At 38.9% G+C, this 13719-nt stretch overlaps 1 protein-coding gene across 8 annotated transcripts in view; it reads left to right on the top strand.

Moving 5' to 3' along the window:
- The window catches only part of EML6 (EMAP like 6), a 248474-nt gene that overhangs the window by 189617 nt on the left and 45138 nt on the right, over positions 1 to 13719 (top strand). For all 8 annotated transcript variants that reach the window (XM_017004098.3, XM_047444299.1, NM_001039753.4 and 5 more), the window contains one exon: positions 3591 to 3767. In XM_017004098.3, coding sequence (XP_016859587.1) covers positions 3591 to 3767 — 177 coding nt within the window. The remainder of the gene's footprint in view (positions 1 to 3590; positions 3768 to 13719) is intronic.

Raw genomic sequence — 13719 nt, forward strand, 5'->3', positions numbered from 1 at the left:
ATAAACATTTTTTCATATTTGTTGGCTGCTTGTATGTCTTCTTTTGAGACGTGTCTTTTCATATCTTTTGCCCACTTTTTTTTTTTTTAAGACCCTTTTCTAAGGGTCTTGCTGTATCACCCAGGCTGGAGTGTAGCGGTACCATCACGGCTCACTGTAACCTTGACTTGCCGGGCTTAGGTGATCTTCCTGCCTCAGTCTCCCGAGTAGCTGGGACTGTAGATGCACACCACCATGCCCAGCTAATTCTTGTATAATAGTTTTAGTAGAGCCAGGGTTTTGCCATGTTGCTCAGGCTGGTCTCCAACTCCTGTTGCCCTCTTTTTAATGGGGTTGTTTTTTGCCTGTTGACTTAAGTTCCTTTTAGATTCTGGATATTAGACCCTTTTCAGGTGCATAGTTTGCAAATACTTTCTCCCATTCTGTAGGTTGTCTGTTTTCTCTGTCGATATTTTCTTTTGCTATGTGGAAGCCCTTTAGTTAATTAAACTCATCAAGTCTCACTTGTCAATTTTTGTTTTTGTTACAATTGCTTTTGAGGACTTAGTCATAAATTCTTTCCCAAGGCCAATGTCCAGAATGGTATTTCCTAGGTTTTCTTCTAGGATTCTTATAGTTTGAGGTCTTACATTTAAATCTCTAATCCATCTTGAGTTAATTTTTGTGTATGGTGAAATGTAGGGGTCCAGTTTCGTTCTTCTGCATACGGCTAGCCAGTTATCCCAGCACCATATATTTAACAGAGAGTCCTTTCCCCATTGCTTATTTTTGTTGACTGTGTCGAAGATCAGCTGGCTACAGGTGTGCAGCTTTATTTCTGGGTTCTCTATTCCATTGGCCTATATGTCTTTTTATACCAGTACCAGTCTGTTTTGGTTGCTGTAGCCTTGTAGTATACTTTGAAGTCCAGTAATACGATACCTCTGGCTTTGTTCTTTTTGCCTAGAAATGCTTTGACTATTCAGCCTCTTTTTTGGCTCCATATGAATTTCAGAATATATACACCTATATTTTAATCCTCATAACAGCTTTACATGATAGTTGTCAATCTGGTTTTACAGATAAGGAAACTAAGGCTCTGTAAGGGCAAAAGACCTACAGCACTGTGATCTTAACCCAAAGGCATCTATGTGTGACTCCATGGCCTACACCATGAAGCCTCTCAATTTCTCCTGTGGATTTAAGTGTCATTTCACATCACTTCAGCTGTACTTTCCCTTCCGGTTTTAGTGCCCCCAAATAAGTATACTAAAATGAAATGTAATTTAACCAAATGGTAGAGGAGGATGAGGCTGGCTTGGAACAGATGAGCAATTATTATATAAAAGATAATGCACAAAAGGAAAATTCATGTTATAATGCTTCCCAAAGTGACAGGCTCTTGCTCTGAAGAGTTAAGAGTTAATTTGTTACCCTGTGGTGCACATTTGTTACTCCAGAGGCTGATTCCTGATGATGTTGGTTGCAGAGTCCTTCCAACTGATGCTTTCTTGGCCAACTTCCCTAGTAGTGCCGCTACTGAGAGCATTGAAGAGGTAGCTCATCATGTTAGTCCCAATATTATAAGGCCCTTTGACTGAGCATGAGGGATTTTGGAAAATCTTTTTCAAAGAAGCAATTTTTTTTTTTAAGAAACAATCATGGTAAACTAATAAAAAGCTTACCCAGCAAATTGTTAAAATATGACAAATGTTAAAATGCCCATTTCAAATCCATCTGATACAAATGGTACAGTTAAAGCAGCACCATATTGGGAGGCAAACTCTCTGGAGCAAACCTCCCCCTTCGGCTTCCTAAGCATGCTGTGACTGCAGTGATGTAACCTGTCTGTGGGCCTCAGTTGCTTCCTTTGCAAAATGATAACATGTCTACCTGAGGCAAGGTGCTAAGGAAGGGATCCCTTGAGGACTCTCCTTCCATCTTAGTTCCAGCATTTTCAACAAGTTTATTTAACCCTTTTGCATTGACGGATTATAGGTATCATTTTTAATGCTCCATTTTAAGTGCAATTTCTGTAGCTTCCAGCAAGTTCGACATTTGCTTCCCCTGGAGAACACGGTGCCCTGATCTGGCCAACAGTGTTGTGTTGGGGTGTCTGCCAGGGGAGCAATACCAGCTCCCTTTCCTTTCCTGCTGGGATGAGGCCAGCATCACTGTAGGGATTGCGAGTGGACTAGGAGAGTCTTAGAGATGGAATCTAGAATTTGGAAGGGAGTCAATGGCCAAAAGCATGCTTCCAGAACCAGCAAGGGATGGTTCCCTGCTTCTCTTCCTGTGAAGGTTAGGTTAGGACATCATAAGGGGTTGAGGGACTCCAATTCTAAAACTGAGGTGATTTCTGGGGGAACCACCTTGAGTCACCTTGGTCTGTGTTCCTACCCAAGGCCCCCAAGTCACAGGACCAGATTCAGATTTTTGTTTCCACCTCTGTGTGCCTCCAAAAGAAACACACAAGATTAAATGAGAAATTTGAGGGACTAACAAATGTATAGCACCTTACCACGTTGTGACTAAAACTCCTGGCTGCATCTTTATCTTGTAATTTCTCTTCTAAGCAATAACAACAAGCAGAAATTAGGCAGGGTACATTAGCAGCGTGCAAAACAGTTTCAAATTCAAAAAGAGAGATCTGGGCTTTAATTTTAGCTACAGTTCTCTAATTTCTTTTACTCCAGTGCTTTCTCTAAAGAAACTGGAATATTAAGGTATAATAGCAGATGTTGAATGAAAGTAAATGAGATAAAATCTCCCAGAAAGCCATAATGTTGTTGTTATTGTCTATTATTGTTTTAAGAAAGTGGAAAGAAAAACCTCAGTCTTATCAGGATTTAACCTATACAAATTACAAATATTCTAGCCAAGAATTTCAGACAAAACAGTTTTAAAGGATAAAAGATTCATGGCAATAGAATATGAATAGCTCTTCAGATTTTTAAAGTAGTCTCTCTAGAGCATACAGGATATTAAGCTTGCTGCAGAATCTTATTACTTTTTCCTCCAAGGAAGCAGTCATGTTTTTTAAAGTTGTGTCTTGTAACTTTTTAAAATAATTGGCTAAATGATCATCTCCATTGATCAGCCTAGGTCAGTGATTCTCAACTGAGAGCAATTTTGTTTCCCAGGAACATTTGGCAATGCCTGGGGACAAGGGTATGCTACTGGCATCCAGTGGGCGGAGACCAGAGATGCTCTAAACATCCTGACACGCACAGGACAGTCCCAACAACAAAGAATTTTCCAGCCTAAGACATCAGTGCTGGCGTTGGGGAATCTGGATCCAGCTTATGGCTTATACAATGATAAATGTCTAGTTAAGAACTAAAATACCTTATTATTATCAAATTTCCACAATTTCAAAATGTTCATTTTATCTAGAGAAAAACATTTGGGTATTTGACTGCAGTGTTGGCTTCTGAAGACAATGCAAATAACCACTTTAAATATGCAACTTAGAATTTGTGTACCTCAGCACTCAACACAAATGCCTAACGTTGGCAAAGTAATTTAGAATTACTCAGGTGCAAACTGTTTCTTTTAAATAAAACAAACTAGGTTGTGCAAAAATATCATTCTCTTTCGTTCTTTTTCAGATCGAGAAGATAGAGTGGGACACATGGACCTGTGTCCTGGGGCCCACCTGTGAGGGAATCTGGCCAGCACATAGCGATATAACTGACGTAAATGCTGCCAGTCTTACCAAAGACTGTTCCCTTTTAGCCACCGGAGATGATTTTGGTTTCGTTAAGCTTTTTTCATATCCTGTCAAGGTAATATTGCGTGTTTATTATCTTTACTTGCTCAGTCTCCTTAATAACCTTAAATATTGTATCTAAGTGCATTTTTAAAAATTTGAAGTCATAAGCAATTCACATTATCGGAGTATTATTTATGCTGTATAAAAACCTCCCTGACATTGTGTTTGAGTGACTAATTTCAGTGCAATTCTCATGGCATAGAATTCTACCTTGAAAGGCCTTCAGTGGTCACCAAATCCAACATCTCACAAACTGCAAAGTAAGTGTTACCTTTACAACCTCACAGACCAGTGCCTTTCTAACTTTCATTAGGATACTTCCACAGATGAGGAACTTAATATCACACAGCACCCCAACTGATTTTTAAATACCTCCAATTGTTAAAACGTTTTTATCTATCTTGAGCTGAATTCTCTTCTTCCCTTTTTTTTTTTGTTTTTTTTTTTTTTTTTGTTTTTTGAGACGGAGTTTCACTCTTTTGCCCAGGCTGGAGTGCAGTGGCGCCATCTCGGCTGACCGCAACTTCTGCCTCCCAGGTTCAGGCAATTCCCTGCCTCAGCCTCCCGAGTAGCTGGATTACAGACGCCTGCCAGCACGCCAGACTAATTTTTGTATTTTTAGTAGAGAGAGGGTTTCACCATCTTGACCAGGCTGGTCTTGAACTCCTGACTTTGTGATCCACCCGCCTTGGCCTCCCAAACTGCTGGGATTATGGGCGTGAGCCACTGCGCCTGGCCTCTTTTCTTTTTAAATAAAGTTCTACCTTCTGAACCATCATTAAACCATTCCATTCCTCTAACAGCCGTCATCTGTAGTAAGATCACATTTGACTCCCCGAAGTCTCATTTTTTTTTCCAGCCTAACCTTTCTAGTTGCTTCAGCCATTTCCCATATTCGATGGCTTACAGCTGTCCCCTCCCTTAAGCACAGTCCAGTTTATCAATTCTTCCTTCAACTGTCTAGTCTAGAACTGTATTCAGTGTTCCAGTTGTAATCTGATCAGGTCAGAGCACAGTGGGACTGCTACCTTCTTGGTTTTGAGTTTTACACTTGTGTTAAATCAAACTAAAATGGCATTGGCCCTTTTGGCTGCCACACTACAAAATTGAATCATAGACGTCAATCTCAAAAATGTTCAGATTATCCCCAAGCCTGTACTTACACAATTGATTTTCTAAGATCTGAGTACAGAACTTTACATTTATACCCAAAGAGTTTTATTTATTTCTTCTCAGTGTTCCATCCTATCTGTATCTTTGAATACCTTGTCAGAGCATTTTCTCTCCCTTGCAGCATCATGTCATCCTCTGCTTTCACAATCCCGAGTTCTAAATCATAGAAAAAAAGACAGACTGGAACAATCACACGTCAACTCAAGGAACCTCCCCCTCAATTCAGTTTTACATTCCATTTATTTATTTATTTTAACTAATGAATGAATGAATGACAGGGTTTTGCTGTGTTTCCCAGGCTGGAATACAGTGGCACGATCACCGCTCACTGCAGCCTCTACCTTCTAGACTCAAGCAATCAATCCACCTCAGCCTCCCCAGTAGCTGGGATTATGTGCATACCACCATGCCCAGCTAATTTTTTTACTTTTTGTAGAGATGGGGTCTCACTATATTACCCAGGCTGGTCCCAAACTCTTGGACTCAAACAATCCTCCCACCTGGGCCTCCCAAAGTATTGGAATTATAATCATGAGCCACCATACCCAGCTGTCATTCTGTTTATTAATCTACACGTTGTAACAATTCTTTAATCAGTAACAGACATTTAAATTTACCCCCCTGTACAGTCATTTATCCTGGTCCAAGAAGACATCATTAAATTCTTGGCAAATGTCTTGCCTAAAGACAAGTGGATAGTGGTCTCTGTCATCCTTAATCTCTCCTTCTAATAAACCAACCAATAAAATATGTGAGGTTAGTTCACAGTGTACCCATTACTGTCTGGTTATCACTACTTCTTTTTCCAAATGCTTATCGAACTCCTGTGTAATATTTCATCCTAGAATTTTCCAGGGATTACATTACCTCATGAATCAATATTTTCCGGAGCCTATTTGTTTTCCCACTGGGATACAAGAACCGCTTTGTGTTTGATGCCACCTCTCCTGATTCCTAAACTTTTCAGCTATTACTGTATTATTTCTGTGGTCACGTTTGAAGGCACCTATACTCACGTAAATGAGTTCTGTTTTCTCCTTTGCGGTTTGAAGAACATTCTCTTTGACAGAGGAAATGAGAAATTGACTTTCAGTTCATGTGAAGCCACCTGATTGAGAAGTGTTCCTAACTTTCCTCTATTTTGCTTCCCCCCCCCCCCAATCCTTTTCAAAAGTCTTATTTTTTGTCTTTAGCATTCCAGAAACTACACTTAAAAGTTGGTGCAAGGCTTTTGTATTCAATCTCAATTATTTGCTACTCCTGTCATTTGTACATTTTAACCTGAACATAGCAGTTACCTCTATGGCCACTTTGGTTACTTTGGACACTTTTCCTTTCTTCTCCTTCCTTTGTTAATAACTGATTAGGTTATCATGGTGAGTAGCCCTGAGATACACATCTGTTTCTGTCCAGTGTTACGTTCATTGCCCATCCCAAAGCCGCCTGGCAACCTTCTGCCAATGATCTGTCACTTACCAGCCCTTCCTATTTGATCAGAATTTAGTTCTAAGTAGCCATTTTCCTTGCTATTTCTGTGTGTAAATGAAATTGCTAGCAGTACAAGGCAAAAAGTTAGTGATACCCTGGTTTTAGTAGACCAAGGTTTTGGAGCAGCTATTTAGATAACTAAATCCCCCACAGTACTATTGCATCTTGCTAGTACTTCCCCTACCTGACAAGGTGGCTTATCTATATATTAGTCATTTCAAGTTGTGTTCCTCAGACCAGAGTTCCAGGGAGGTATATCTCAGGTGGGAAGGAAGGAACCAGTGCAAAAGCTCTGGAATCCCGTTCCTGTTTCAACAAAGTTACACTATGTTTTGTATTTTGCACATTCATCTTCTGTGTATGCTTTTTTCTAAGATTTTATTGTGAAGATTTTGAAGCATACACATAAGACGAGAGAATAATATAGTGAACTAATAGAAACCCACAACCTAAATTCTGTAATTTAAAGTAAACTGTAGAATTAAGAAAGAAAAATAAAGATCTCAAATAACCTAACTTTACACTTCAGAAAACTAGGAAAAGAAGACCAAACTAAGCTTCCTGTTAGCAGAAGGAAGGAAATAATAAAGATTAGAACAGAAATAAATAAAATAGAGACTATAAAGAGAATAGAAAAGACCAATGAAACTAAGAGTTGGTGTTTTTGAAAAGGTAAAATTGACCAACCTTTAGCTAGACTAGCCAAAAAAAGGACTCAAATAAAATTATAAATGAAAGATGAGACATTATAACTGATACTGTAGAAATACAAAGGATCATAAGAGACTACTTTGAGCAATTACATGCCAACAAATTGGATAACCTGGAAGAAATGAAACATATCTGGAAATACACAGCCTACCAAAACTGAAGTGCAAAGAAATAGAAAATCTGAACAGATCAATAATGCACAAGAGATTGAATCTGTAATCAAGAACCTCCCAGAAAAGGCCAAGACCATGTGGCTTCATGTGTGATTTCTCCCAAGTATTTAAAGAAAAAATATTGCCAATCCTTTTTAAACTCTTTCAAAAAAAGAAAAAAAATTGAAGGGGAGGGAACACTTTTAAACTCTTCTTAGAAGGCCAGTAGAACCTTGATACCAAAACCAGATAAGGACATTACAAGAAAACTACAGGCCAATATGCCTGATGAATATAGGTGCAAAAATCTGAAACAAAATACTACAAACCAAATTCAACAGCACATTAAAAAGATCATACACCATGATCAAGTGGAATGTGTTCCTGGGATGCAAGGATGGTTCGACATATGCAAGTCAGTAAATGTGATGTACCACATAAAGAGAATAAAGGATAAAAATCATTTGATTATCTCAGTGGATGTGAGAAAAGGATGGACAAAATTCAACATCCTCTCATGATTAAAAACACTTCAATTAGATATAGAAGGAAGGAACTTCAATAAAGGCCATAAATGAAAAACCCACAACTAACATGCTCAATGATGAAAAGCCGAAAACTTTTCCTTTAAGATAAGGAACAAGACAAGGAAGTCCTAGCCAGAGCAATTAAGCAAGCAAAAGAGAGAAAAGGCATCCAGATCAGAAAGAAAGATGTAAAATTATCTCTATTTATGTACAACATGATCTTATATATAGAAAACCCTAAAGACCCCCCCAAAAGCTATTAGAATTAATAAAGTCAGTAAAGTTGTAGGATACAAAGCTAACATATACAATTCAATTACATTTTTATATACTTAGACTATCTACAAAAACTGTATCATCAAGACAAATAAAATGTTTAGGAATAAGTTTAGCCAAGGAGGCGAAAGAACTGTATACTGAAATCTGTAAGACACTCATGAAATAAATCGAAGAAGACACAAATAAATGGAAAGAGATCCTGTGTTCATGGAGTGGAAGAACTAATATTGTTAAAATGTTCACACTACCCAAAAAATAATCTGCAGATTCAATGTAATCCTTATCAAAATTCCAAAGGCATTTTTTTCACAAAAATTGGAAAAACAACCTTAAAATGTGTATGTAACCACAAAAAACCTGAATAGCCAAAGCAATCCCAAGAAAGAATAAAGCTGGAAGTGTCACACTTTGAAATATACATTTCAAACTATATTACAAAGCTATAGTAATCAAAATGTATGGTACTGACATAAAAACACATAGACCAATGAAACAGAATAAAGATGCCAGAAATATATCCATATATATTATATAGTCCATCTTTGACAAGGATACCAAAAATATACGGTAAGGAGAAGACAGTCTCTTCAATGAGTGGTGTCAGGGAAACTGGATATCTACATTCAAAAGAATGAATTTGGACTTTATCTCACACCATTTAAAAAAATTAACCCAAAGTGGATTAAAGACTTAAATGTAAGACATGAAATCATACAACTCCTAGAAGAAAATATAAAGAGCTCCTTGACATTGGTCTTGGCAGTGATTTCTTGGATGTAACAGCCAAAGCACAAGCAAAAACAAAAGCAAGTGAGACAACATCAAACTAAAAAGCTTTGCATGGCAAATGAAACAATCAACAAAATGAAAAGGCAGCCTATCAAATGGGAAAAATAATTGCAAACCATGTTTCTGATAAAGGGTTAATATACAAAATATATAATGAATTTTACAACTCAATAGCAATAACTATGATTTTAAAACAGGCAAATGACTTGAATAGACATTTCTCCAAAGAAGACATAGAAATGGCCAACAGGTATGTGAAAAGATGTTCAACATCACTTTTTAGGGAAATGTAAGTCAAAATCACAGATATCACCTCACACCTGTTAGGATGTCTATTAAAAAAAGAACAAGTGTTGGTGAGGGTGTAAAGGAAGGGAACCCTTGTACACTGTTATGCCCACCAACAGTGTACAAATTGGTGCAGTCATTATGGAAAACGATATGGAGGTTCCTCAAAAAATTAAAAACTAATATATGATTCAGTAATCCCACTTCTGGGTATATATCCAAAGGAAGTGAAATCAGTATCTTGAAGAGATATCTACACCACCATGTTCATTACAGCATTATTTACAATAGCCAAGATATGGAAACAACTGAAGTATCTATCAACAAATGAATGGATAAGGAAATTATTGTGTATATATACATATACATGGTGGCGTATTATTCACATAAAAAAGAAGGAAATCCTGTCATTTGCAATAATGTGGATGAACCAGAAGGACATGGTAAGTGAGATGAGCCAGGCACAGAAAGACAAATACTTTGTGATCTCACATATACGTGGAAGCTAAAAAAGTTGAACTCACAGAAGTAGAGAGTAGAAGGGTGGTGGCCAAGGACTGGAGAGTGGGTGGAAATGGGGAGATGTTGGTCAAAGGGTATAAACTTTTTTTTTTTTTTTTTTTTTTTTTGAGAGGGAGTTTTGTTCTTGTTGCCCAGGCTGGAGTGCAATGGCACAATCTGGGCTCACCGCAACCTCTGCCTCCCGGGTTCAACCGATTCTCCTGCCTCAGCCCCCTGAGTAGCTGAGATTACAGGCATGTGGCACTATGCCTGGCTAATTTTGTAATTTTGGTAGAGATGGGGTTTCTCCATGTTGATCAGGCTGGTCTCGAACTCCCAACCTCAGCTGATCCATCCACCTCAGCCTCCCAAAGTGCTGGGATTACAGGTGTGAGCCACCACGCCTGGCCAAAGAGTATAAACTTTTAAGATAAATAAGTTCTGGGGATCTGATGTAGAGCATGGTGACTGTATTTAATTATACTGTATTACTTTAAATTTGCTAACAGAGTAGATCCTAAGTGTCCTCACCAAACGCACACACACACACACACACACACACACACACACACACAATGGTAACTATGTCATGATTAATGCATTAATTACCTTGATTGTAGTAATTATTTCACAATGTATGCATATATCAGATTCTGTTGTACACCTTGAATATATAAAATTTTTGTTAATTATACCTCAGTAAAGCTGGGAGGAAAAAGTAAATTTTAGACATCAAGATACTTACCCCTAAATGTTTCATCATGCATATTACTATCTAGAGTTCAAGATTTGCTTATGGTATTTTTTAAGTAAAATTTATATTCAGTTGAAATACATAAATGTTCAGTGTTCCATTTGATAAGCTTTGACAAAAAGCTCATGTACCTATATAAACATCTCTTATGAAGATACATACGCCATTGCCACCCCAGGCTGCTTCCTCATACTCCTTCTGGGCCAGTCCCCATGCCCCCTCCCTCCCTCAGCTGAAACAACTGTTCCAATGTTTTTCACCATAAATTTTACCTGTTTAAGAATTTCATATAAATGAAATAGGTACTGCTTTTTATCCAGCTTCTTTCACTCAGAGATGTTTCTGAGATTTATCCATGTTGTTGCATAATAATAGTTCATTCATTTTCATAGCTGAGTAGAATTCCATTGTGTGGATATAACAGGTTGTTCATCCATATTCCTATGATGAACATACTTTTCCAGTTTTTGGTTATAGTAAAGCTGCTATGAACATTTTTAGACAAGTCTTTGTAGACATATGCTTTCTTTCTCTTAGGTAAATATATAGGAGTGGAATTTCTGAGTCATGGGGAAAAATATATATAACATTTTAAGAAACTGCCAGACCTTTTTCCAAAGTTGTATCATTTTATATTCCCACCAAAAATGTAAGAGTTCCAGTTGCTGATATTCGATCTTGTCAGATGCATAAAATTCAGCTGTCCAGGGGAGTAGATGGTGCCATCCAGTTGTGTTTTCAGTTTACATTTCTCTGATGACTAAGGATGCTGAGCACTTTGTCATCTATTTACTATTTGGGGAAGTATCTGTACAAATCTTCTGTCCATTGTTTTAAATTATCTTTTCATTCTTGAGTTCTGTGTATTTCTTGAGTTCTCTATTTCTTCAATCAGATTGAAGAAATAGGTTCATGGCTTAAACTACTAGCCAAATATGAATTATTTTGATAAAATCACTTATTTTTTTTTAAAAAAATTATTTATTATTTTTCAAGATGGAGTTTTTGCTCTTGTTGCCCAGGCTGCAGTGCAATGGCGTGATCTCGGCTCACTGCAACCTCTGTCTCCTGGGTTCAAGTGATTCTCCTGCTTCAGCCTCCTGAATAGCTGGGATCACAGGTGCCTGCTGCCATACCTGGCTAATTTTTTGTATTTTTAGTAGAGATGGGGTTTCGCCGTGTTGGCCAGACTGGTCTCGAACTCCTGACCTCAGGTGATCCACCTGCCTTGGCCTCCCAAAGTGCTGGGATTACAGGCGTGAGCCACTGCACCCAGCCTCTTCTTTTTTTTTCAACCTGATTTTTCTGGCACACTTTCCTTCCCAAATACATGAATCTCTTGCCAATGAATATTTCCAGCTGTATAGTCACACTTGTCTAACTGCTATCACTCTGTTGAACAAAGTTCATTATCTGTTATGAACTTGAATGGTTGTGTCTTCCCAAATCTGTGTTAAAGCCCTAACTCCCAATGGGACTGTATTTGGAGATAGGTCATTTAGGGAAGTAACTAAGATTAAATGAGTTTATAAGGGAGGGGCCCTAATCTGATAGAATCAGTGTCCTTATAGAAGAGATGCCAGAGAGCTAGCTTTCACTCTCCACACACACACCGCCCGCTCTTCCTGTGAGCACACAGTGAGAAGGCAGCTATCTACAAGCCAGGAAGAGAGCCCGCACCAGGAACCAAATTGGCCAGCACCTTCATCTTGCCCAGCCTCTAAAACTGTGAGAAATAAATTTCTGCTGTTTAGCTACCCAGCCTAGGGCATTTTGTTATGGCAACCCAAGCAGACTAATGTCCCATGCCATTGCTATATTCTCGCATTGAGTTCTATGTCATCAGTCTTGGTGATACCTGTGAGATCTTATTACCACCACAGAGCTCTGTGTCCAAAATTCAAGTTCCGTTTGTTGGCTGCTAAAATCACGTCACTATCTTGGCTCTTTTTCTCATTCTACTTTCCTATGAGTGGGCATCTCTTCCGGGCATTTTTCTTTCCATGCCAGACAAGTATCTTTATTAATATTCAGTTTTATAGGTTAAAGCCTTCCCAATTAGATCATTAGTGCCCTGACAGCCACCTTGTCCCAACCTCCATGAGACATACCCTATCCTTTATCAGAGACTTAACAGGAGCACGACCCATTTTTGTAGTACCTTAAACCATGGACCAGAAAACCAAATTCTGTTTTTTGACACCATCTGTATGGCCTGCAGATTGCTTCCCATAGCCTCCCTTCCCTTCCGAACCTAGACCCTTTTGCTAAATGGAGAGGCTAAAATACCACTGTGTCATTTGCATTTTTAAAACCCTCCATGCCCTCAAGTCCTTAAGTTTCCTCCTCAGAATGTGAAAAGCTCTGGAGGATGATTCTTCAGAGAGAAACTTTGCATGGAAAATTTTATAGACAGGGAAACTGAAATGTGAATGTAGGGGAGAGTGCACAGCTTTCACGAGATTCTCAGGAATTTCTTCCCTACAAGGGATTGACAACCACTACTCTGGAGACATATTCCAGATTTTTTTTGTTTTAAGATGGAGTCTCACTGTTGCCAAGGCTGTAGTGCAGTGGTGTGATCTTGGCTGACAGCAACCTCTGCCTCCCAGGTTCAAGCAATTCTCCTGCCTCAGCCTCCCAAGTAGCTTGGATTACAGGCATCCACCACCATGCCCAGCTAATTTTTGTATTTTTAGTAGAGTCAGGGTTTCACCATGTTGGCCAGGCTGGTCTTGAACTCCTGACCTCAAGTGATCTGCCCGCCTTGGCCTCCCAAAGTGCTGGGATTACAGGCATGAACCAGTGCACCTGGCCATATTCCAGGTTTTTCTGGTGCTATCATCCATTATTTCATCACTTGATGGATAGAGTTGTGGTGAAGCAGCAAGTTCTGATGGGTGTAACAAGTGCAGTTTGGCTTGAAGACCCAGAAAGGTCATTCATCCCAATGGCTGTGCCAGGTCTTGAGGACGTTTCCTCCGTAGGCCCTGCCGGGAACCACTATACATCCCTGCCAGTGTCTTTCTCTTGAGACAGCAGCTGGTTTCGCAGAACCTTCTAGCAACTGTCAATTCCCTTTATTGTTGCATGGAGCAGTGATTTTCTTTCCTATTCTGAGAATCTTGAATCACCCACTGCTGCAGGAATCTCTGCCTTGTTATATCTCTTCAGTGGCCCTGAATTTTTTCCTCTCTCTTTCTTCCTCTATGTCCCTTTTTTCCCCTCTGCAACCTGAATCTCATCCCTTAGAGTCTGTTTCCTTGAACCTTTCTTTTTGCATTTTTTCTTGCCATCTAGAAA

The sequence above is a fragment of the Homo sapiens genome, chromosome 2 (genome assembly GCF_000001405.40).
Source record: "Homo sapiens chromosome 2, GRCh38.p14 Primary Assembly".
Lineage (NCBI taxonomy): Eukaryota > Metazoa > Chordata > Mammalia > Primates > Hominidae > Homo > Homo sapiens.